Genomic DNA, 26,056 nt, shown 5'->3' with positions numbered 1-26,056 from the left:
TGTTGACTACGGTAGACTTTAGGCAGCAGCACTCAAAGGAATTTCCTCCCCTACTTTATACTTTCCAAAGTATTCCTTTTATAACTGTCGTAAAACTCACTTAACATAAAATTCACCACTTTGAACATTCTGAAGCATATAATTCAGTGGCATTTAGTACATTCACAATGCTGTGTAACCATCACCACTATCTAGTTAAAGAACATTTCATTACCCAAAAAGGAAACTGAATCCATTGAGCGGTTACTCCCCAGGATTCTCCTCTTGCCCCGCCAAACCCCTGCAACCACCACTCTGCTTTCTGTCTCTATGGATTTGCCTATTCAGGGTATTTGTGTGTGTGCATTTGCTATTTTTTAGATAAAACCAAATTTATTTTATTTCAAAATATTTACATTTAAAAAAAATTTTCTTAATTTAAAGCCTAAAAAGAGAATGTAAAAAGAGAATATGTAATACCCACAGTCTACCAACCAGAGATAAGCATTACTAACATACCTGGTTCTTTCTTCATCTTTTTCTGGATATACAAGCAAATTGTGTGTGTGGAGGTGTGGTTGTGAGAGAGTGGCTAGGGAGGCAGGAGGAGACCGAGAGAGAAAACAGGAAACAACATCTTCCAGGAAAGCCATCAGTAAATCAAAGTACTATATACTAGATACCATCATTCCAAAAACTTCCATTATAATTTTTATATAGATTTATACAATTCAGGTAAAAGGATGAGGACACTAAAAGTTCTTCCTCCAGGGTTTATTCTAAATGACAAAATGTGGGAGAAATGAGCGTGAGATGAGGATGAAAATAACCATACCAGTCATAGGATTGCCAGGTACAATCATCTTTTGCTGTGGGTACTACTATTTTTGCTCCTGTCTCTTGAGCTGTATCGGCAAATCTTGTTGTTTTTAACCTTTAAAATATATCCAGCATTTGACCAATTCTTATCATCTCTCCCACAACTGCCCTGACCCAAATCATCATCATTTTCCACCTGGATTATCACAGTACACACCTAAACCGGTATCTCGCCCTCTTCCTGCCTCACCCTCATCACTTCACAGCCTGCTCTCAACAAGGCAAAGCAATCTTTTTTAAAACGCAGGCCTGATCTTGTCATTTCTTTGCTTAAAATTGTGCTGTAGCTTTTGCTAAGAGTAAAAGCCCTAAATTCTTACAATGGCTTATAGGCCCTACACAATTAGCACACTGTACCTCCCTACTTCATCTCCTCCTACTCTGCCCCCTTGCTCCAGCCACACTGGCCTTCTTTCAGTTCACCCAATGTATATAGACATGTTCTTTCAAGCTCTTTGTAATTTCTATTCTTCTATCTGAAACGCTTTTCCTGTAAATAACTATATGCTCCCATCCTCACCTCCTTCAAGACAGTACAAATGCCATTTTTTAACTGAAGGTTTTCTTGAACACTCTCTAACACTGTAATTACCACTCCTCCCTAAAACCGTGTTACTATTCCTCCATTTCTTCTTTCCTCTTAAGGCGTCATGATCAAATGACATACTACCAAGTGCCTGAAAGTATGAAAAAAATACAATAAATACAACATTTTCCCTTGATTCTAGACTTTTACAGACACTGTGCAATGTATTAACTATTGGATCCATGGCTAAAATTTAGAGGTCCTTCACTTGAAAATGTATCTTTTTTTGAGACAGTGTCTTGCTCAGTTGCCCAGGCTGGAGTACGGTGGTACAATCACAGCTCACTGCAGCCTTGATCTCCTGATCTCAAGCAATTCTCTCACCTCAGCCTCCCGAGTAGCTGGCACTACAGGTGAGGGCTACCACACAAGGCTAACTTTTTTGATTTCTAGTAAAGATGAGGTCTCACTATATTGCCCAGGCTGGTCTCAAACTCCTGAGTTCAAACAATCCTCTTGCCTCAGCCTCCCAAAGTGCTCGGATTATGGGCATGAACCACTGCATCTAGCAGAAAATGTATCTTAAGGCTGAAGAAAAACATACTGAGTATATATATATGTATATATATATATATATATACACATTTTTTTTTAATGTGACATACTGTTTAAAGATGTTTACCACAGGTTCCCAGACTTTTTTGATACCCTTTCTTTTTGAGATAGGGTCTCACTCTGTCACCCAGGCTGGAGTGCAATGGCATAATTACAGCTCACTGCAGCTTCTACCTCCCGGGCTCAAGTGATTGTCCCACTTCAGCCTCCTGAGTAGCTGGGACCACAGGTGCATGCCACTATGACCAGCTAATTTTTAATTTTTTTTGTAGAGACAAAGTCTCACCATGTTGCCCAGGCTGGTCTCAAACTCTTCGACTGAAGCAATCCTCCTACCTCTCTCTGCCTCCCAAAGTGCTGGGATTACAGACATGAGCCATCATGCCTGGCCTCAGGATACACATTTTTAAAAATGTCTCGCCTTTCTCCCCCGCTAGAGCTGCTGGGCCTGCAGGTCTCTGTCAAGCTGCAGACGCAGGTCTCTGTTCTGCAGGATGGGGTTTGTTAAAGTTGTTAAGAATAAGGCCTACTTTAAGAGATACCAAGTGAAATGTAGAAGACGACGAGAAGGTAAAAATGATTACTATACTTGGAAACGCTTGGTGATAATAGGATAAAAATAAATACAACACACTCAAATACAGGATGACAGTTCATGTAACAAACAGAGATATCATTTGTCAGACTGCTTCTGCTCGTATAGAGAGGGATATGATAGTCTGCACAGCATATGTACACAAACTGCCAAAATAATGGTATGAAGGCTGGCCTGAAAAATTATGCTGCGGCATATTGTACTGGCCTGCTGCTGGCCCGCAGGCTTCTCAATAGGTTTGGCATGGACAAGATCTATGAAAGCCAAGTGGAAGAGACTGGCAATGAATACAATGTGGAGAGCACCGATGGTCAGCCAGGTGCCTTTACCTGCTATTTGGATGCAGGTCTTGCCAGAATTACCACTGGCAATAAAGTTTTTAGCACCCTGAAGGGAGCTGTGGATGGATGCTTGTCTATCCCTCATAGTACCAAACAATTCTCTGGTTATGATTCTGAAAGCAAGGAATTTAATGCAGAAGTACACTGGAAGCACATCATGGGCCAGAATGTTGCAGATTACATGTGCTATTTAATGGAAGAAGATAAAGATGCTTACAAGAAACAGTTCTCTCAATACATAAAGAACAGCATAACTCCAGACATGATGGAGGAGATGTGTAAGAAAGCTCATGCTGCTATACAAAAGAATCCAGTCTATGAAAAGACGCCGCAGAAAGAAGTTAAAAAGAAGAGGTGGAACTGTCCCAAAATGTCCATTGCTCAGAAGAAAGATCGGGTAGCTCAAAAGAAGGCAAGCTTCCTCAGAGCTCAGGAGCGGGCTGCTGAGAGCTAAACCAAACAATTTTCTATAAGGATTTTTCAGATAAAGACAATAAACTTATGGACAGCAAAAAAAAAAAAAAAAGTCTCAGAAGCTTAAATGAGAAATAGCAGGGAAGCTTTTGTTTGTTTGTTTTTGTTTGTTTTAATTTGAATCAGTAGTATCTAACACTTAACTAAATTCCTTGTAAGTAGAAAAGATACCAAAAACCTGACCTGATGAGCTACAAACCTGCAACTGATTTTTAAAGAGAGGGTCTTGTTGTGTTGCCCAGGCTAGTCTCAAACATTTGGCCTCAAGTGATCCTCCCACTTCAGTCTCCCAAAGTGCTGGGATTACAGGCATGACCCACCATGCCCAGCCTCGCTCTGGTATAGTTTTATATAACTATTTGTGCATAGGTCCTACCAGACTTCCAAATAAGCATCTTTACATGAAAGGCCCATGAGCGATTATGTCGAAAAACTTCTATAATGTGTCTGGTACATAACCAGGCTTGAGAAACAGTAAAGTAGGCCTAAATAAATATGTATTAATAAGGCAATATAAGCATTTTTGTCTTGCTGAAATGCTATTACATAGAGTATATTATCCAGAAACTACGCAAAACTCCCTAGCATCCAACACAAATGCATGTACATTATAGGTGAACTCTAAGAAAGGACAGCTAAAATATCTTAGATATAGTTTTAATCTATTTTATTTTGAAAGTGGTTATCCCTGTCAGGGATATATGGTAACTTTCTGCTAACCAGAATGTCTGATTAGCCAAAACCTTAAAACTATGTTAAGACTGAAACAAAAAAAAACCTTTGCTTTATATGAAAATATAAATTTGTAAATATTATTGTTAGTCCTCATGCCATTTATTGTTATTTCTTTAGCATGACAGGTTATAAAGCCAGTAGATAGTTTATGTTTATGCACACTAAATAGAAGTATTTCTTCCTTTTAAACAAAAGTATTTATCTTCTTTTAACAAAATCTTACAATGAATAACAGTAATACAGTCGTGTCACTTAAGACAATAAGAATACATTCTAAGAAATGCACTGCTGGGCAATTGCATTGTTATGCAAACATCTTAGAGTGTATTTACATAAACCTAGATGGTATGACTTACTAGACATCTAGGCTGTATGGTATAGCCTATTGCTCCTTAGTTACAAATCTGTACAGGATATTACTGTACTGAATACTGCAGGCAGTTGTAACACAATGTTAAATATTTGGGTATCTAAATATTTAAATAAAATTTTCCATCAGTGAAAATTCTGGAACCTGATGGCTTCATTGCTGAATTCTAACAAATATTTAAAGAAAAATTAATACCAATTTTCCTCAAACTATTCTAGAAAATTGAAGAAGCAGGAATACTTGCAAACTCATTATACAAGGCCAACATTACCAATTTCAAAACTAGACAAGGACACGGCAAGAAAATGAAACTACAGACCAATATCCTCGATAAACAGGTACGAAAATTCTCAACAAGATACTAGCAAACTGAATCCAACCACACATTTAAAAGTTCACTATGATCAAGTGGGATCCATCTCAGGGATGCAAGAATGGTTGAAAATACACAAATCAATAAATGTGATAAACCACATTAACAGAATCAAAGACAAAAATGATAGGATCATTTCAATAGATGCAGAAAAACCATTTGACAAAATTCAACATCCCTTCATGATTAAAAACTCCCAAAAAATTAGATACAGAAGGAGCATACCTCAATGCAATAAAGGCCATATATGACAAACCCATAGTTAACATCATACTGAAGGAACAAGAACACCTACTTTTACCACTTGTATTCAATATTGTACTGGAAGTCTTATAGCAATTAGGCAAGAAAAGGAAAGGAAGGGCATCCAAATTGGAAAGAAGGAAGTCAAATTATCCCTGTTCACAGACAACATGATCGTATATATGGAAAACTCTTAAGACTCCACCGAAAATGTCTTAGAGATAATAAATGAATTCAATAAAGTTGCAGGATACTAATCAACATACAAAAGTCAATAGCATTTCTATATGCTAATAGTGAACTATCTGAAAAAGAAAACAAGAAAACAATTCAATTTATAATAGCTACCAAAAAAGTAAACCTAATCAAGGAGGTGAAAGATCTTACGCTGAAAACTCTAAAACATGGATAAAAGAAATAGAAGGGGATACAATAAATGGAAAGATATCTCATGTTCATGTATTGGAAGAATTAATATCATCAAAATGGTCATACTTTCCAAAGTGATCTACAGATTTAATGCAATCTCTACCAAAATTCCAGTGTCATTCTTCATAGAAACAAAAAAAAATCATAAATTTCACATGCCAAATTTGAATAGCCAAAGCAATCCCTGAGCAAAAAGAACAAAGCTGGAGGCATCACACTACCTGATTTCAAAATATACCACAAACAACCAAAAATTAACCAAGAAAAAAACAAACAACAAAATATACCACAAAGCTATAGTAACCAAAACAGCATGGTACTGGCTGGCATAAGACAGACACATAAACCAACGGAACAGAATAGAGAGCCCAGAAGTAAATTAACATACCCAAAGCCATCTGATTTTGGACATGGGTACCAAGAACACACATTGGGAAAAAGCTTTTACACAGTGAAGGAAACAACAGAGTGAAAAGACAACCAAGAAAATGGGAGAAAATATATGCAAACTATACATCTCACAAGGTATTAATATCCAGAATATGTAAGAAACTTAATTCAACAGCAAGAAAACAAGATAACCCAATTAAAAATGTGCAAAAGGATAAATGGCCTCCAGCTCCATCCATGTCCCTGCAAAGGACATGATCTCATTCTTTCTTATGGCTGCTTAATACTTCATGGTGTATACAGGGCATTATCCTTAGCAAACTAATGCAGGAACAAAAAACCAAATACCGCTTGTGCTCACTTATAAGTGGGAGCTAAATGATGAGAACACATGGACACATGGAGGGGAGCAATGAACACTGGGGCCTATTGGAGGGTGGAAGGTGAGAGGAGGGAGAGGATCAGGAAAAACAATTAATGGGTACTAGGCCTAATGCCTGGGTGAAGAAATAATCTGTACAACAAACTCCCATGATACAAGTTTACAAATAAAATAAACTTGCACATGTACCCCTGAACTTAAAGTTTAAAAAATGGGCAAAAGACCTTAATATAAATTTTTCAAAGGAAGACATTTGAATGGCCACCAGGTATATAAAAAATGCTTGACATCACTAATCATCAGGGAAATGCAAATCAAAATCACACTGAGACACCACCTCACTCCAGTTAGAGTGGCTATTATCAGAAAGAAGAAAAGTGTTGGCCAGGTGCGGTGGCTCACACCTGTAATCCTTTGGGAAACCAAGGCAAGAGGACTGCTTAAGCCCAGGAGTTTGCAGGAGTTTGAGACCAACCTGGGCAACATAGTGAGATATCATCTCTATAAGAAATTAAAAAATCAAAAAAATGAGGTGAGAGGATCGTTTGAGCCCAGTAGGTCACTGCAGTGAGCCATGATTATACCACTGCACTACCACCTGGGTGACAGAGCGAGACCCTGCCTCAAAAAAACCAACAAACAAAAAAACAAGTGTTGGCAATGATGTGCAGAAAAGGGAACACTTTATACACTGTTAGTGAGATTTGTAAATTAGTGGTGCCATTATGTAAAATAGTACAGAGGTTCCTCAAAAAATTAAAAACCGAACTACCGTATGATCCAGCAATCCCATTACTGGGTATACATCCAAAGGACATGAAATGAGTATGTCAAAGAGATGCCTGCACTCCTGTGTCTGCTGTAGCACTATATACAATAGTTTATCTCACAGAGGCAGAGTAGAACAGTGGTCACTAGAGAACGGAGATGGGAGAATGAGGAGAGGTTGGTCAACATGTACAAAGTTACAATTAGATAGGTGGAATAAGTTCTGGTGTTCTATTGCATAGTAGGGTGACTATGGCTCAAAGTAAAGTATTGCACATTACAAAATAGCTAGAAGAGAGGCTTTTGATTTTTTTTTTTTTTTTTTTTTTTTTGAGATGGCGTCTTGCTTTGTCACCCAGGCTGGAGTGCAGTGGCACAGTCAGTTCACCGCAACCTCCACCTTCCAGATTCAAGCAATTCTCCTGCCTCAGCCTCCTGAGCAGCTGGGATGACAGGTACACGCCATCACGCCCGGCTTATTTTTGTACTTTTCTTTTTTCAGTAGAGATGGGGTTTCACCATGTTGGCCAGGCTGGTTTCAAACTACTGACCTCAAGTGATCCACTCACCTCTGCCTCCCGAAGTGCTGGGACTATGGGTGTAAGCCACCACGCCCGGCCTAAATGTTCTTATCACAAAGAAGATCATGATAAATGCATGAGCTGATGAATACCTCATGAAAAAATACATGATAAATGCATTACAATAGCCAAGATATGAAATCAACCTAAGTGTCCAATAATGGATGAATGCATAAAGGAAATGTGGTACATATACACAATGGAATACTTTTCATCCATAAAAAAGAACGTTATTCTGTCACTTGTGACAACGTGGATAAACCTGGAGAATATCATGTTAAGTGAAAAAAGCTTTTTTTTTTCACTTAACACTTAAAATGCATGAGGTATTCATCAGGCTCACTAGCCTGATTTGATTATATATCACATATATCTATTGAAACGTCAAATTGCACATCAAATTGTACCCTGTAAATATGTACAATTATAATGTCAATTTAAAAAATAACTAAAAAAAAATTCCCCCAAATTTAGTACCTGTTCTGATATATTGTAATCCAAACACTCTCTAGGATAGACCAGATTTCTTGATGCCTGCTGGGTTGGGGAAGATGAGAACTCGAGAAAACAGTGATTTCTTGATTATGAGAATTCTTCAATGAAGTACCTTCCTGCTTTTTAGTCACTGTGTTTTCTGAAGAATTTGGCTTAAGTTTTGTCTTGACCTGGGGAAATAAGAATTACATAAAATGCAGCTAGTTCTTCATTTGCAGAGGAGAAAAAGAGAGTGGCAACTGTGCTTACAAATGTTCTAGCTTTCTGAGAAGTGGTGGCAATTCTTTTTCTTTTATTATGTACATAATATTCCCAGAAAAGCATCAGAGCTAGAAAAGATATTTTCCTTTTCCATTTAAATCAAACAATATTTCCAATCTACTTATAATGATTTGTTTCGCTAACATGCTAATGTCAATTTAAGAATACTGCTTGAATACTTCTACATATGCAGTACTGAAAGAGATAGAGGACCCCTAGAATACAAAGTATAGAGGTACAATCAAGCCTTGAAGCACCTTACAATCCAGTTTTAAGAAAATGTAAAGGGCTGCAAAGTGTTGTTTAAAAAAAAAATCAAGATATAATTTAAACCTCAGGTTATGGGTAATGGTGAACCACTGAAGGTTTCTAACTTAGGCAGTGATATACTCAGAAGTGCACTCTAAGATAAACTAAAACAGAAGAAAGCGGAGGCAAGAAAACTGGTTAGAAAGTTACTGAAATAATCCAAGAGGAGAGTCCTGAGAACATGGATTAGCTATAAAAAGGCAGCAGAATGAAAAGAAAAATAAAATGCATGCAAGAAATATAAAGACTTGGCCAAAGACTAGATCCAGGGAGTGAGGGAGACCCCAAGACATTCTTTAACCTAGATGTGTTAGAAGAATGATACAAATAAATAGGAACTTAGGGTGGTCATAAATCTAGAAGAGTGTGTGTGTGTGTGTGTGTGTGTGTGTGTGTGTCTGTGTGCACGCACACATGCACACTAAGTAGACTGAACCTTCTTGATTACTTCCCCAGAGGAATGTATACAGTTTTACTCAGTAAAAGTCAAACAAATACTCGGAAGCAATACGTCTCACATACATATACAGGAATTGATGGAAATACTATTTGATGTTCCACAATCACTGCAATTTTAAAGATCACATTAACTTATGCGTTGCTAATGAGGGACAATTCACTGAACATATCACATATTATAGTGTAGTAGCAATAAACTGTAGTGTGTATTTGTCTATGTTTCCAAATTTTATGGCCTCTTGTTGTAAAGCTAAGAAGAGAGGCTGCTTGCAAATAAGAATCCTCTTTGGATGAACAGAATATGTTTGTTTTTTAGGTATATGTTGAGTTTGAGGTATAAAAAGTTATCCAGGTAAAGATAGTTAGCAAGTAATTGGATATGTAGATCTGCAGCTTAAATATACAGTTAAGAATCATTCTCATGGAGACAAGTCTTAGGAGATGAAATAGACAAACTGAAGGGGGAAAAGTAGGAACTAGCAAAAATAAGAGGGGAAGAATCAGTATGCAATAACAATAGAAGCCAAGGGAGTCAGGTTTCAGGAAAGAAAGGATAGACACCACCAAGTGCTGAAGAAGGACTGAGAAGAAGAATAAGAAAGAGAAAAGGGTAATTTTGATAATCAGAAAGCAAATGACAACCTACAGTTTCTTTCAGTGGAGTGTGGAGATAAAATTCTACTTGTAAAGGATTAACAGGTAAGTGAGTGCTCTAGCCTTGTGCAGTTGGCAAAAAAAAAAAGAAAGAAAGAAAAGAAAAAGAGACAAGAAAATAAAACAAAAAAAAAAGAGTGCAAAAATGAAAACAATGGTTAGAAATTGCTCTTTTTTTTTTTTTTTTTTTTTTTTTTGAGACAGGGTCTCATTCTGCCACCCAGGCTGGAGTGCAGTGGTGTGATCTCGGCTCACTGCAACCTCTGCCTCTAGGACTCAGGTGATCCTCAACCCTCCCCAGTAGCTGGGACCAGCGGTGCAAGCCATCAGGCCCAGCTAATTTTTTTTATTTGTTGTAGAGACAGAGTTTCGCCATGTTGCCCAGGCTGGTTGGTTGCCCAGACTGGTTGTGGCACAACCAATCTGCCCACCTTGGCCTTCCAAAGTGCTGGGATTACAGGCATAAGCCACCATGCCTGGCCATAAATTGCTCTTTTAAGAAGTTTGGTAGTTGATGGAAGGCCAGTGCAGTAAACAGAATGGCCAGTGAAAAGTACGGTATTTAAGAATGGAAAAGATCTAAGCATAGTTTAAAGCACAGTAAAAGAGATAAACTACTGATTCCAGTTTTTAAAAATATATATATCATGCAGAGGAAAAAAGGAAAAGTACCTAACAGAATGTACAAAATTTTAACTATAAGTTTAAAAACTTAGTTTTTTGGTCTTGGCTCTACTATAAATATGCTTTGTAAACTTAAATAAAATCACTCCATTTCTCTAGGCTTAAGTTCCCTGTGATAAAATGATTATTTCAAAGGATTAGCTTCATGGATTGCTAATTTCATACATATTAAAATTTTTTTAAATAAAATTTCCAATACTATCAGTAGTAACAGTTAATATTTATTGAGCATTTGTTATGTACTTTCTCAGAATTTTCTATTTATTAGCTCATTTAATCCTAACAACTACCCTATGAAACAGATACTATGATGGTCCATATCTTATAATCAACAAAACTGAGGCATAGAAAGGTTAATTAACTCATCCAAGGTCACACAGATGATAAAAGGCATGAACAGGATTTGACCTTCAGCAATCTGACTAGAATGAAGTTATGAGCTCTCTCCATCTGTAAAAGTAAATGTTACCCTTCTTTATCTTCTGGGGCAAGAAGAAAAGTTAAAAAGATGATTCTTCCCATTTTTGTCTGTTTACCTTAAATTCTGAATTTAATGAATAGACATAAATGAAAAGACATTTTATCCTGAGATAATTTTTTATCACCAAATATATTTAAAATACAGCCCAGCATTTACCTAATGCCTCTTTTCTTTAGCTCTTAAATAGTAGTGTATATACTACGCAAGTGGATTTCTTTATCAAATACTACATAGCACTTACTACATGCTAGACATTAAGGTCTCCACAAATATTAACTTGTTAATTCACGTGACAATTCTAAGGCCAGCATTATTATTACACTCATTTTACAAAAGAGAGAATTAAGGTCCAGAGAGTTTAATTAACTAGAGGTTAAAAATACCACAACTCAGGATCCTGAGGCATGTAAGTCTGAAGCTTATTAACAAGATTGATTTTAATTACTCTATCATCTTAGCAAAAAGCAAGTCCTATTTTTTTTAGTGGTTAGAAGGCCCATAAAACGAAAGTGTACGTATCCTTTTCCTATTTCTCCCCTCTTACATGAAAATCTGGAAAAGGCAGGGCATGACGGTTCATGCGTGTAATCCTAGCACTTTAGGAGGCTGTGGCGGGAGGATTGCTTGAGGCCAGGAGTTCAAGACCAACCTGGGCAACAAAGTGAGACCTAGTCTGTACAAAAAAATTTAAAAATTAGCTCAGCATTGTGGCACATGCCTGTGGTTCCAGCTATTCAGGAGGCTGAGGCTGGAGGATCATTTGACACGAGGTCAAGGTCACAGAGAGCTATGAGCTATGATCACAACTCTGCACTCAGGTCTGGGCTACAAAGCGAGACCCTGTCTCCCAAAAAAAAATCTGGAAAATGATAAAGTTAGTTTATCTCCATTTTAGTTTCTCAAAGCAATCAAATAATGAATATTCCTCTCTTCCTGATTTTCTACACTTAATAAATTAAGATTAGGTAGTTTTTACAGTTACTAGGAGATACCATATCTTTGGAGGTAATCTATTTGTTGCTCAAGTTACTGAGACATGACCAAATATATAAGACATATATCAAATCTAATACATTCTATAAAACAACTCCTGTTAAAAGTATATTTTAAAGCATCAGTCCCCAACCTTTTTGGCAACTGGGACTAGTTTTGTGGAAGATAATTTTTCCATGGACGGGTAAGCGGGAGGATGGTTTCAGGATGATTCAAACACAGTCCATTTATTGTGCACTTTATTTCTATTATAATTACATTGTAATATATAATGAAATAATTGGCTGGGTGCAGTGGCTCATGTCTGTAATCCCAGAACTTTGGGAGGCCAAGGTGGGTGGATCACCTGAGGGCAGGAGTTCCAGACCAGCCTGGCCAACATGGTGAAACCCTGTCTCTACTAAAAATACAAAAATTAGCCAGGTGTGGTAGGACGTGCCTGTAATCCCAGCTACTTGGGAGGCTGAGGCAGGAGAATCACTTGAACCTGGGAGGTGGAGGTTGCAATAAGCTGGGATCGTGCCATTGTACTCCAGCCTGGGCAACAACAGAGAACTCTAGAGAGGAAGGGAGGAAGGGAGGGAGGGAAAGAGGGAGGGAGGGAAGGAATATACAACTCACCATAATGTAGAATCAGTGGGAGCCCTGACCTTACAGTCCCATCTGGGATGATGGGAGACAGTGACAGATCATCAGGCATTAGATTCTCATAAGGAACATGCAACCCAGATCCCTTGTATGCACAGTTCACAATAGGGTTCATGCTCCTATAAGAATCTAATCCCACTGCTGATCTGACAAAAGGTGGGGCTCAGACAGTAATGTGAGTGATGGGGAGCAACTGTAAATACAGATTAAGTTTTGCTTGCTTGCTCGCTGCTCACCTCCTGCTATGCCAATACCAGTCATGGCCCAGGGGTTGTGGACCCCTGTTTTAAAGGACTATACTAAATCATAAAGTTCTTCGTTTACTCAATGAATTGTTTCTAACACAAAAATAAAGGTGCAACACTTCAGAGTTCTAATCCTGGAAACAGCGTGGATGGTTTCAAGTAATCACACTAAAGCCAAGTGTTGAGGGGAAAGCACTATTAGGATGCTAGATTCTTTGCTACTCGCCTTCATGAATCTCTTGCTAACGTAGCAAATGAAACTTAAGAACCAGAAATAAATAATTTATTAACAAGTCACTGGTTTTTTTCTTTTCTTTTCTTTTTTTTTTTTTTGAAATGGAGTCTTGCTCTGTCTCCCAGGCTGGAGTGCAGTGGCACGATCTCAGCTCACTGCAACCTCTGCCTCCTGGGTTCAGGTAATTCTCCTGCCTCATCCTCCCAAGTAGCTGGGACTACAGGTGTGTGCCACCATGCCTGGCTAATTTTTGTATTTTTAGTAGAGACAGGGTTTTGCCATGTTGGCCAGGCTGGTCCTGAACTGCTGCCCTTAGGTGATCCACCCAACTCAGCCTCCCAAAGTGCTGGGATTACAGGCATGAACCACCATGCCCAGTCAAGTCAATACTTTTAAGTATGCAATGGGCAACATATACGTAGTAGGCATATCATTATCTGACAAACAATACAAAATTTTAACATCATATTTTCATGGTACCTCCCATCTGTAGGTTTTTATCGATGAAGAGGATTAAAAACTACACATTATTGTTTTTATTTCAATGAATCCTAAATTTTGTTTTATTCTCAATAATCTTAATTAAAAGACTGTTAAGACTTTAAGTATCTTGCACTTTCCATCTGTTCACCACATTTTATTCACTAAGGATATGATTTAGGACTCAATTTTGTGACGGGAAAGGAGAACACATCTTTTCCAACACAATCAAGGTACAATACTCATGCTATAACCCTCTAAATCCCTAGGCCCATTTTTTCCTACTAATAGTTCTAAAAATCACGCTTGCCATTAAAAAAATAAAACTACCAATGTTTTGGTCATCTCAAACCAAAAGATCATATCACCCCTTAAATAAATTCTTTCCTCAAGAATGATCACATATTTCCACTCAGTTTATTTAAAAAGCTGCTTCCTTTACTCCATGAAGTAAGTATTCTCTTAGCAAGGAAGTGCTTTCCTCATCAACTATGATTAATGTTAGTATCATCTAATCCTTTGATTACTTCATAGGCAGGGGACCTATCTGACTATGAAAAATCAATGAGAAAAACCTGGACAATTCAGTTCCTCAGAGAAAAAAGAGAACATAATATCTATACTGGATAAAAGTTCCATTAATATCTCTTTTAGTAATAGTGATAACTGAGGTTTTTTGAGCTGTTTATGCTACATAAAACTCTCAGATTTTTCTAGACTTGAAATTAGAGGCCAGGCACAGTACCTCACACCTGTATTCCCAACACTTTGGGAGGCTGAGGCAGGAGGATTGCTTGAGTCCAGGAGTCAAGACTAGCCTAGGTATTAGGGCATAACTCTGCCTCTACTAAAAATATGAACAATTAGCCAGGTGTGGTGGTGCCATGCCTGTAGACCCAGCTATTCGGGGGGCTGACGTGGAAGAATCACTTAAGCCCAGTAGGTGGAGGTTGCAGTGAGCCCTGATCGTGCCAGGGTGACAGAGTAAAACCCTGTGTCAAAAAAATAAGTCTGTATTACTGGGTACAAAAATTAGAGAGTTAAGTTTAAAAGAGATAAAAAGGCATCAGCTAAGATGGCTGCATAAGAATCACATGAAACTTGTTAAAAACTTCACAAATTGGCAAAGTTTGGATAAGGTTCACAGATAACTATTGTATCAATGTTAATTTCATGATTAATTATATTGTAGTTACATAGGATATCCCTATTTTTAGAAAATACATATGGAAATATCTTGGGGAAAAAGAGCACCTGGGGGAAAAAGGGCATCCTATCTGCAACATACTATCAAATAGCTCAGAAAAAAATATAGATAGGTAGATAGATGGACAGACAGACAGGTGGGTAGGTAGAGAAAGAAAACAATAAAGCAAATGTGACAAAATATTAACATTTGGAGAATCAGGGTAAATAATATATATGGGAATTCTTTGTACTGCTCTTGTAACCATTTTATAAGTTTGAAATTATTTCAAAATAAAAAGTAAAACAAGGACAACAACATTACCAAGTAACACTGTCAAAAAATAGATTCAATAGGGTTTCAGACAGTGTTGACATCTGTATGTTTAAAACAATTTCCTAGGTATTTTTGATGTATGTGAGATCCACTGGCCTAGGGCACTGTAAATGAACAGTCAAATAGCATGCATAGCTTTCTTCCATCCATAAGTGAAAATAATATAAAATAAGAACAACTGCTGTGACACTGCTTCCATAAAAGGAGGTATGGGTTTTATAACTTGTTAGAGTTGCTTACTCTGTATTCAATTCACTTAACATTTACTTAACGCCTTTAGTATGTTAGAATAAGTTAGAATTAAATTATCCTTTACCTACTGTTGTCTGCTAAACACATTTTCAGAACATGTATAATTAGCTACTCTAACTGGCATTCCAAAGGCATCTTACCTCTGCAAATGTCTGAAGGAGGTTGTTTACTTGAGCAAAGGTCTGTGGAAGAATACCATCATAATTTGACCTTGTACTGAAAGCATGTAACAAACTTCTAGAATCCTGAAGCAAGAATTTGACTGTTGTAAAATCCACTGCCTTATTAGCTGGTAACAGAAAATTAAGACAGAAAAATATGGAAGAATGAGTATACATCATAAAAATGTCTTTGGAACACTAATATTAATTTTGAAATTTAAAAAGAGTATACATTTATACCTATATGCCACTCCTAAGTTATCCCTCTGGTACAAAAAGCAATAATTAAATAGATTTAGTTATAGATAAAGTCCTTTGAGTTGATTCTGGTATTCTGAATTCAGATTTCAGGAGTTCTGTCAGCACGGTCAACTTCAAAGTAAAAGTAAAGTTAAAGAATATTACACTCCCCAGAAAAAAGAGAAAATCACCAAAGAAACAAGTCAAACCACAGATTTCAATGCTGAGGTGATTTCACATAAGAGTACTGTGGAGAGATCAGAAGAGTGAGACTACACTGGTAAGCATGTCAGTTATATATGGTACCTCTCGTCATCACCTCAGCTATCTACATAGTGATTTATCTTCAACTCCATTGCATGAAACTCAATACTATGTTTATTGAAAACTATGAGTTATCTCTATATGTACAACACAACTTCAGGAGAGAAAAAAAGTTTGGGCAACAGTGAGAAGCAAAAGAAGCCTGCAGAATTTTTTTCCTGTAAATTAAAAGTGAGAAAATCTACAAACAATAATTTAAAGGTATAACAATTTTATCTCAAGGAACTAAAACTAATTACATTAACTTCTCAAACTAGTTGGGAAAGCTGGTGACAATAATTTCAAAAATTTCAAAAGTTATAAACAATAAAATTAAGTAATATCATAAAACTCAGAACAGAAAAAATTATTTCCATTATTAAAGCAGAATGCTACCTAACAGTTTTCAAAATAACCATGCTATACTGTTGTTTACTTTTTGTTTTAATGTTCACAGTTTCAGAGACTCTATTGTATTCTGAAATATCAGCATGGCTGTTCAATGGCACTATGAGTTTAAAAAACAATAAGGAGTTTCTCTGTATCACTTACACAAGAACTTGCTTGTGAAATCCTGAAGGGTCAAGTGAAATAAAAACTATATCTTAATAATTAATTCCACAATATTCAGAAACTCTAATCTAATGTAATGGTTGTAGCCAAGCCTCTGGCTTCTCCTTTATCCAAAAATATAAAAAATAATAATAAAGCAAGCCAATGTATTTCCTTACAGGAAAACTTTCATTTCTTTTTAAAGCCAATGACTAGTTTAAATTCCTGTGGGTAATGAGAGATGCTACACACAGGACAGACTGTAGATGTGATGAACTACGTAAATCCCCTGAGGAAGATATAATTGGACACAACTTCTTTTAAGGGTGCTTTTCCAATGTAACATATGTTTAATGAGGCTTACATATATGAATTAATCATTTTATTTCTGTCTTACAAAAGTTCCTAAGATTATGAGGAAAAGGGTAATAACAATAATAAATCCAGTATACAGACACAACAAAAAAAGAAATCTACATGAATGAAATAGTCTAATGCTTATATAAGGCCAATAATTATTTAAAGCTAATATGGGTAACAAAGTCATAAAAGTTACTAGTCATTTTCCACACAATTTTCTATGAACTAATCTAAGGATACATGCGTGGTATTCTCAAGTTAAACAAATATATAATTCAACAGCTGAAGGTATTATTAAAAGATAGTACACAAGAACATAAACTGTGATTTTTCTCATTCAAAATTATCTTACAGCAAGAAGTTTTTTTTTTTTTTTGAGACAGAGTTTCACTCTTGTTGCCCAGGCTGGAGTGCAATGGCGCAATCTCGGCTCACTGCAACCTCCACCTCCCGGGTTCAAGTGATTCTCCTCCCTCAGCCTCCCGAGTAGCTGGGATTATAGGCACCCACCACCACGCCCAGCTATTTTTTTTGGATTTTTAGTAAAGACAGGGTTTCACCATGTTGGCCACGCTGGCAATGAACTCCTGGCAAGAGGTACTTTTATAATCCCATGACATATTCTTCATAACTCATTAAACGTTAGGCATCAGATTCTTCGAGATCAAAGACCAATAAACTATAATGATCACAAAACTGATTTTTCAGCAGAAGATACAGTCATCACATCTTCACTTCTCTCCTTAATGGCAGTTAGAGCTGCCACCTACCACCTCTCAGCTGCGTCTAAGAGCAGACCCCCCTGCCAGGAAAAACAGATGGAAGATGGCAACTAGACACCTCATTTTTTACACTAACTTTGAGATCACACATAGTTTACGGACTTTCTCTTTTAAAAGATCAACTAAATTATGACCCAGGTAAAAGATATGAAAAGAGATTCTACATGCTTTATTTTTTTTATTTTATTATTATTACACTTTCAGTTTTAGGGTACATGTGCACAATGTGCAGGTTTGTTACATATGTATATATGTGCCATGTTGGTGTGCTGCACCCACTAACTCATCATTTAACATTAGGTATATCTCCTAATGCTGTCCCTCCCCACTCCCCCCACCCCACAACAGTCCCTGGAGTGTGATGTTCCCCTTCCTGTGTCCACGTGTTCTCATTGTTCAATTCCCACCTATGAGTGAGAACATGTAGTGTTTGGTTTTTTGTCCTTGCGATAGTTTGCTGAGAATGATGGTTTCCAGTTTCATCCATGTCCCTACAAAGGACATGAACTCATCATTTTTTATGGCTGCATAGTATTCCATGGTGTATATGTGCCACATTTTCTTAATCCAGTCTATCATTGTTGGACATTTGGGTTGGTTCCAAGTCTTTGCTATTGTGAATAGTGCCACAATAAACATATGTGTGCATGTGTCTTTATAGCAGCATGATTTATAGTCCTTTGGTTATATACCCAGTAATGGGATGGCTGAGTCAAATGGTATTTCTAGTTCTAGAACCCTGAGGAATCGTCACACTGACTTCCACAATGGTTGAACTAGTTTACAGTCCCACCAACAGTGTAAAAGTGTTCCTATTTCTCCACATCCTCTCCAGCACCTGTTGTTTATAAAACCGCTTTGGAGAGATGTCCAATATGTTGCTCCATGTCCTTCATATAATCATATCCCTAATAAACAACTTCTACAACTGAAGGCAATGACAGGAAAGTGCCGTTCCTTAAAAAATTGGTAACTTATAAAAATAGATATTTGGATGGTTGTAGATGTGTGGTGTTATTTCTGAGGCCTCTGTTCAGTTCCACTGGTCTATATATCTGTTTTAGTATCAGTACCATGCTGTTTTTGTTACTGTAGCCTTGTAGTATAGTTTGAAGTCAGGCAGTGTGATGCTTCCAGTTTTGTTCATTTTGCTTAGGATTGTCTTGGCTATGTGGGCTCTTTTTTGGTTCCATACGAAATTTAAAGTATTTTTTTCCAATTCTGTGAAGAAAGTCAATGGTAGCTTGATGAGGATAGCACTGAATCTATAAATTACTTTGGGCAGTATGGCCATTTTCACTATATTGATTCTTCCTATCCATGAGCATGGAATGTTTTTCCATTTGTTTGTGTCCTCTCTTACTTCCTTGAGCAGCGGTTTGTAGTTCTTGACGAGGACCTTCACATCCCTTTTAAGTTGTATTCCTAGGTATTTTATTGTCTTTGTAGCAATTGTGAATGGCAGTTCACGCATGATTTGGCTCTCTGTTTGTCTGTTCTTGGTTTATTGGAATGCTTGTGATTTTTGCACATTGATTTTGTATCCTGAGACTTTGCTGAAGTTGCTTATCAGCTTAAGGAGATTTTGGGATGAGATGATGGGGTTTTCCAAATATCGATCACGTCATCTGCAACAGAGACAATTTGACTTCCCCTTTTCCTAACTGAATACACTGTATTTATTTCTCTTGTCTGAGTGCCCGGGCCAGAACTTCCAATACTATGTTCAATAGGAGTGGTGAGAGAGGGCATCCTTGTCCTGTGCTGGTTTTCAAAGGGAATGCTTCCATCTTTTGCCCATTCAGTATGATATTGGCTGTGGGTTTGTCATACACAGCTTAAGAGCTATTTATTTATTTTGAGATACGTTCCATCAATACCTAGTTTCTTGAGAGTTTTTAGCTTGAAGGGCTGTTGAATTTTGTCCAAGTAAATGGTGTTAGGAAAACTGGATAGCCATATGCAGAAAGCTGAAACCGGATCCCTTCCTTACACCTTATACAAAAATTAACTCAAGATGAATTAAAGATGTAAACATAACACCTAAAACCATAAAAACCCTAGAAGAAAACCTAGGCAATACCATTCAGGGCATAGGCATGAGCAAAGACTTCATGACTAAAACACCAAAAGTAATGGCAGCAAAAGCCAAAATTGACAAATGGGATCTAATTAAACTAAAGTGCTTCTGCACAACAAAAGAAACTATCATCAGAGTGAACAGGCAACCTACAGAATGGGAGAAAATTTTTGCAATCTATCGATCTGACAAACAGCTAATATACAGAATCAACAAAGAACTTAAATAGATTTACAAGAAAAAAACAACCCCATCAAAAAGTGGGCGAGGGATATGAACAGACACTTCTCAAAAGAAGACATTTATGCAGCCAACAAACATATGAAAGAAAGCTCATCATCAATGGTCATTAGAGAAATGCAAATCAAAAGCACAATGAGATACCATCTCATACCAGTTAGAATGGCGATCATTAAAAAGTCAAGAAACAACAGATGCTGGAGAGGATGTGGAGAAATAGGAATGCTTTTACACTGTTGGTGGGAGTGTTAATTAGTTCAACCATTGTGGAAGACAGTGTGGTGATTCCTCAAGGATCTAGAACTAGAAATATCATTTGACCCAGCAATCCCATTACTGGGTATATACCCAAAGGATTATAAATCATTCTACCATAAAGACATATGCACATGTATGTTTACTGCGGCACTGTTCACAATAGCAAAGACTTGGAACCAACCCAAATGCCCTTCAATGATAGAGTGGATAAAGAAAATGTGGCACATATACACCATGGAATACTATGCAGCCATAAAAAAGGATGAATTCATCTCCTTTGCAGGGACATGGATGAAAGTGGAAACCATCATTCTCAGCAAACTAACACAAGAACAGAAAACCAAACACCACATGTTCTCACTCATATGTGGGAGCTGAACAATGAGAACACATGGACACAGGGAGGGGAACATCACACACTGGGGCCTGTCAGGGGGTGGGGGACTACAGAATAGCATTAGGAGAAATACCTAATGTAGATGATGGGTTGATGGGTGCAGCAAACCCCCATGGAACGTGTATACCTATGTAACAGACCTGGACGTTCTGCACCATGTACCCAAGAGCTTAACGTATAATAATAAATAAATAAATAAATAAGAAACTGGAGCCAGGATAGCACGAAGGAGGGGAGCTCATGCTTGCATTTCTGAGATAACAACAGTCTCAAGGATTTTCTTAAAAAAATCCCACAAGAAATTCCTCCATGTCCTTCATGCATCTCATGCTTTTCATGATCCACGTCTTGCATGTATGCACATATTTCTAAACCGGGTTTATCACTAGACATTCTTTAGGACCACAGCAGTTCAGATAAGACGTTCTTGAAAAAACTTTTGCCCAGTAACAGTGTCTCCACCAATGAACTAATGCCAACTCTGACTTTGAGCCTCAGGCACCAATAAACTCTGTTTTTAAGCAGCTTGTATGAACTTCTTTTTGCCAATAAAAGCTTTCCCTTACTCTCTCCTCTTCAGGTGCACTTGTGGCTTGCCACAGCTATGCATCCTAGATTAGAATCCTTTTTCCTTACTCCTGAGTAAATGCATCATGTTAGGAGATCAAAAAAAAAAAAAAGATATTCATCGAACATCTAACATGGATGAGACATAAGGAAATGACTAGGTGCTTTAAATCCCCTAGGGGAAATATTTATTTATCGACTTACTTTATTTATGGTTGACACATAATAATTGTACATATTTATGGAGTACAATGTGATGTTTTGACATATGTATAAATTGTGTAACAATTAAATCAGGGTAATTAGCATATCTATGACCTTAAGCATTTATCATTTCTTTGTGATAGGAATATTCTCTTACAGCTATTTTGAAATACACAATACGTAACTGTTAATTCTAGTCATCCTACAATGCAGCAGAACACCAGAACTTATTCCTCCTATCTAACTGTAGCTTTTTATATTGCTCAATCTCTTATCATCCCCTACCACTGCACCTTCCCCATCCTCTGGTAATCACTATTCTACCCTTTACTCCTCTGAGAACAACTCATTTTCAAAGAGTTTACACTTCAAGGAAAAGACAGAGAATAAGGTACACCTATCATAGAATATGCAATTTTTTTCCTTTTTTTCCTAGCTTCTATGAAGATTTTAAGGTTAGAATCTGGGCTCAAGTGCTGCAATAATGATTTGCATATGATTCATGATTAATCATCTCCTATTCTTCATTATCTGGCCTTGGTGCCTTTAATAATTTAATTATTTAACGGCCCTCTTGTACTCAGGTTGTTAGAAGCCATCAGAGTTATGCTTCAGAAGTACGCTGGATATAATTAATATATGAAATAATAAACACATCACTTCATGTGAGGAGTTTGAAAAAAGCAAAGTACCAACTGAACCTTTAATAATAATCACACTTTGCTTATTTATATTATATATATGTTTTTTTGAGACAGGGTCTCATTCTGTTGCCCAGGCCGGAGTGCAGTGGCACCATCTTGGCTCACTGCAACCTCTACCTCTCAGGCTCAGATGATCCTCCCACCTCAGCCTCCCAAGTAGCTGGGTCTACAGGCATGCACCACACACCTGACTAACTTTTGTATTTTTTTTAGAAAGGGAGTTTTACCATGTTGCCCAGGCTGGCCTTGAACTCCTGGGGTCAAGCAATTCACCCACCTTGGCCTCCCAAAGTGCTGAGATTACAGGCATGAGCCACCATGCCCAGTCTTTGCCTTTTAAAGGCATAACAAGACAAATCTAGTTATTTGAACAAGTCACTTACTGTTTCAAGACTAGTTTACTTGATCATAAAATATAGGCTTTAATAACATTAGATCAGTTTTTCTCACATTTTTTTCCTCACAGCAGATAAACTTTTTTCCAAGTCCTATATAGAATCTCCATAAAGAAATTTTTAAAAGCTGCTCTGGCTAAAGTTGGGGTTGAGGGCCAAAGGCACCACCTACTGGGCTCCCCCTTCAATCTTTCCATCATCCATCTGTGGCAGCAGAGGCACTTCAAGAAGCCAAAAGTTCTGTTCAATATAGTTTAAAAAACAACTAAGTTGTTCACTGTGGTCTCTTCCAGTTCTAAAATTCACTATACACCAAAGCCAAAGGTTTCCTGTTCCTTATCTATATAGTTTAAATAGAAACCTTGACACACTATTCTGAAAATTAGTACATGAAATGTGCTCAAAGTTTGTGTTAAACACTGTAAGAAACGAAAAAAGTCTAATTAATTCTATTGGTGTATCTGAACAGAATGTAAAACATGGTTTTAAAAGTTTTCAAAGTAGACATCATCAAAAATTATATATTCACAATATTTTGAAATATCAACAATACCATTTACAGTCACAAGCTCTATGAGCTGCATCTATTCATCCAGTTTCCACAAATACATAGCTCTATGAGCTGCATCTGTTCATCCAGTTTCCACAAATACCTTTATAAATTAGAAGTATAAATGATTAAGAACTAATTAACAAATTCTTCATTAATTTATCTTCACATCCCAGGAAATATATCTGCTAGTCTGACTTAATACAACACTGCTAAAGAGAAAAATAAAAGATTCATACCTTTACGGAGATTTTTGTATAGGCTCTCAATAGTTAAAAGCAAGTTCTTTTCCATAACTAATCCAAATACAGCCAACCAATGTTTTTTAAAGCACTGTAGTAAATGTAGTAGAGTCCATGGTGGTTTCAGGTACAGGATCTAAAGAGTATGTAGAAAAAAATTAACATCTCTAGATTTATTATTCCAATTATTAAAAAGTACCTATTTAGGAATTCCTACATATATTTTGAGCAAAATATAATTAGTTGGATTCTTTTTAAATTAAAAGATGTAAAGTCAATCATAACATTAAAATGCTAATTCCATTGCAAATTGCTTTTGTAAAACTCATGTTAGTATTAATCTTAATAGTTTCAGAAACTGTGCAAAAAAGAAAAACATACATCTAATCAGAGGAAACATAGTTTTATCAGCTAAGGTCCTTCAATCTACTTGTCAACGCAGTCATCGCTATAAGAAAATTAATCTAATTATTTCATGTAACTGGGTGAAAATCAGTATAGAAAAAAGATGTTCGGTGGCTCATGCCTGTAATCCTATCTCTTTGGGAGGCCGACGTGGGCGTATCACAAGGTCAGGAGTTCGAGACCAGCCTGGCCAACATGGTGAAACCCCATAGCTACTAAAAATGCAAAAATTAGCTGGGCCTGGTGGCAGACACCTGTATTCCCAGCTACTTGGGAGGTTGAGACAGGAGAATAGCTTGAAACCGGAAGGAGGAGGTTGCAGTGAGCCGAGATCACGCGACTGCACTCCAGCCAAACTCCATCTCAAAAAAAAAGAGAAGAAAAAAGATGTCAGTGACAACTGTCACTTGTTACACTCTTGCAAAGACATGCCTATTAAAAACATTGATCATTTAATTCTATAAGATGTCAGCACTTCCTTTTCTGAATCACTCACATATATACAATTACTTTCCTTATCTCTACTATGAGATATCAACACTCCTAGTATCTTCTGATGATTCGTCATCATTTTGGTTCAACTTTGTCAATATAATCAAGTAGCAAATGCACCGTTCTGGCAAATATTAGAATCTCACAGAACAGCTGGAATAGATACAAGCTATGATTGATGCAAAATCATGTTTCTCCTAGCTATAAATGCTCACGCCTGTAATCCCAGCACTATGGGAGGCTGAGACAGAAGGATCACTTGAGGTCAGGAGTTCAAGACCATCCTGACCAACATGGTGAAACCTCGTCTCTAATAAAAATACAAAAATTAGCTGGGCGTGATGTCACATGCCTGTAATCCCAGCTGCTTGGGGGGCTGAGGCAGGAGAATCACTTGAATCTGGGAGGCGGAGGTTGCAGTGAGCCAAGATCATGCCATTGCACTCAAGCCTGGACAACAAGAGCGAGACACCGTCTCAAAACAAAACAAAACAAAAAACACTGAACTTTTGAAACCATTATTATTAGAGTTTTACTGATTGTCAAAAAGGTGTGAATCCAAAGAAATTTCAAAATATCTTACTAATACAATCAACTTATACTCTGATTCTTACATTTACATGGCACAAGCAAAAATACATACTTCTTTTTCTGAATACATATTGCTAGAGAGATTCCTTATATTAGACATTTTGACTCAAATTAAATAGACAAGTTTTTTTTCATTCAATTTAAGCACCATGGGACAGTGCATCTGACACACAGCAGATGCAAAATAAATATCTGTTTGCTCAAAAAAAAGAATAACATATATTCCTAACCATTAAGAAATGTCCATCATTTAACTGTCAAAAAACTATTTCAAAAACTTGAAGAAAAATGTAACATGATACAGATTATTCAATGAAGCGTATGCATTTTATACAAGTAATATTTCTTAAGATAACAAATCTTCAGCAATAAAAAAGAAATTTTCAACTAATAGAGTTCAACTAATCACCTCCATCCAAAGGTTTCCAAAAGCAATTTTCATTTCTGTTTCTAATATTGAAGATAAACCTGTTCCAAGAGATTTTTCAAGATCAGATACAATGCTCTCAAGCAGAATGGACAGTCCAGAATTTGTAGATTCCTCCTTATAGCTCTCTTTCAAGGGTGTTGTTTCTTTAAAACAAATAGTTACAGACTTTATTTAGAATGCTAACAGTAATTATTATACATATAATTAGTATATTGCCATAAACAGTAAACATTTTATGTATATATTTTAATTATATATAAAACAAACAAATATTTTATTTTCAAAACAATTTAGAAACATGTATCTCTATTATAGTTGCTTTAGATGCAACATAAATATATTACTTTAACAAATGTTTTATCTTTTTAACAGGCAATTAAATAATATTTTTACTCAAATAAAAATGTAAGAAATGTATGCGATATTTCAACTACAATTTAATTTTATTATTTTCCAAAGAGAGTTACAAGAATGCCTTGGATTTATTCACAACAAAAAACCAAGAACTATGGATCAAAATGGGTTTTTTTCCAAAAATGGAATATTTTTCTTTTTTTTTTTCTTTTGAGACGGAGTCTCGCTCTGTTGCCCAGGCTGGATGCAGTGGCGCGATCTTGGCTCACTGAAACCTCTGCCTCCTGAGTTCAAGAGATTCTCCTGCCTCAGCACCCCGAGTAGCTGGCAAAAACGGAATATTTTTCTAAA

At 36.8% G+C, this 26,056-nt stretch overlaps 1 protein-coding gene and 1 pseudogene across 15 annotated transcripts in view; one reads left to right on the top strand and one right to left on the bottom strand.

Moving 5' to 3' along the window:
- Positions 1-26,056, bottom strand: part of SWT1 (SWT1 RNA endoribonuclease homolog) — a 134,722-nt gene that overhangs the window by 61,588 nt on the left and 47,078 nt on the right. For all 15 annotated transcript variants that reach the window (XM_005245271.3, NM_001105518.2, XM_047423246.1 and 12 more), the window contains 4 exons: positions 25,331-25,494; positions 23,431-23,569; positions 15,539-15,687; positions 8,158-8,345 (listed from right to left, as the gene is read on the bottom strand). In XM_005245271.3, coding sequence (XP_005245328.1) covers positions 8,158-8,345; positions 15,539-15,687; positions 23,431-23,569; positions 25,331-25,494 — 640 coding nt within the window. The remainder of the gene's footprint in view (positions 1-8,157; positions 8,346-15,538; positions 15,688-23,430; positions 23,570-25,330; positions 25,495-26,056) is intronic.
- Positions 2,422-3,447, top strand: RPL5P5 (ribosomal protein L5 pseudogene 5; annotated as a pseudogene).

This window comes from Homo sapiens, chromosome 1 (genome assembly GCF_000001405.40).
Source record: "Homo sapiens chromosome 1, GRCh38.p14 Primary Assembly".
Lineage (NCBI taxonomy): Eukaryota > Metazoa > Chordata > Mammalia > Primates > Hominidae > Homo > Homo sapiens.
Note: the sequence above shows the minus strand (reverse complement) of the source record. Positions and strands in the feature narration are given on the sequence as shown.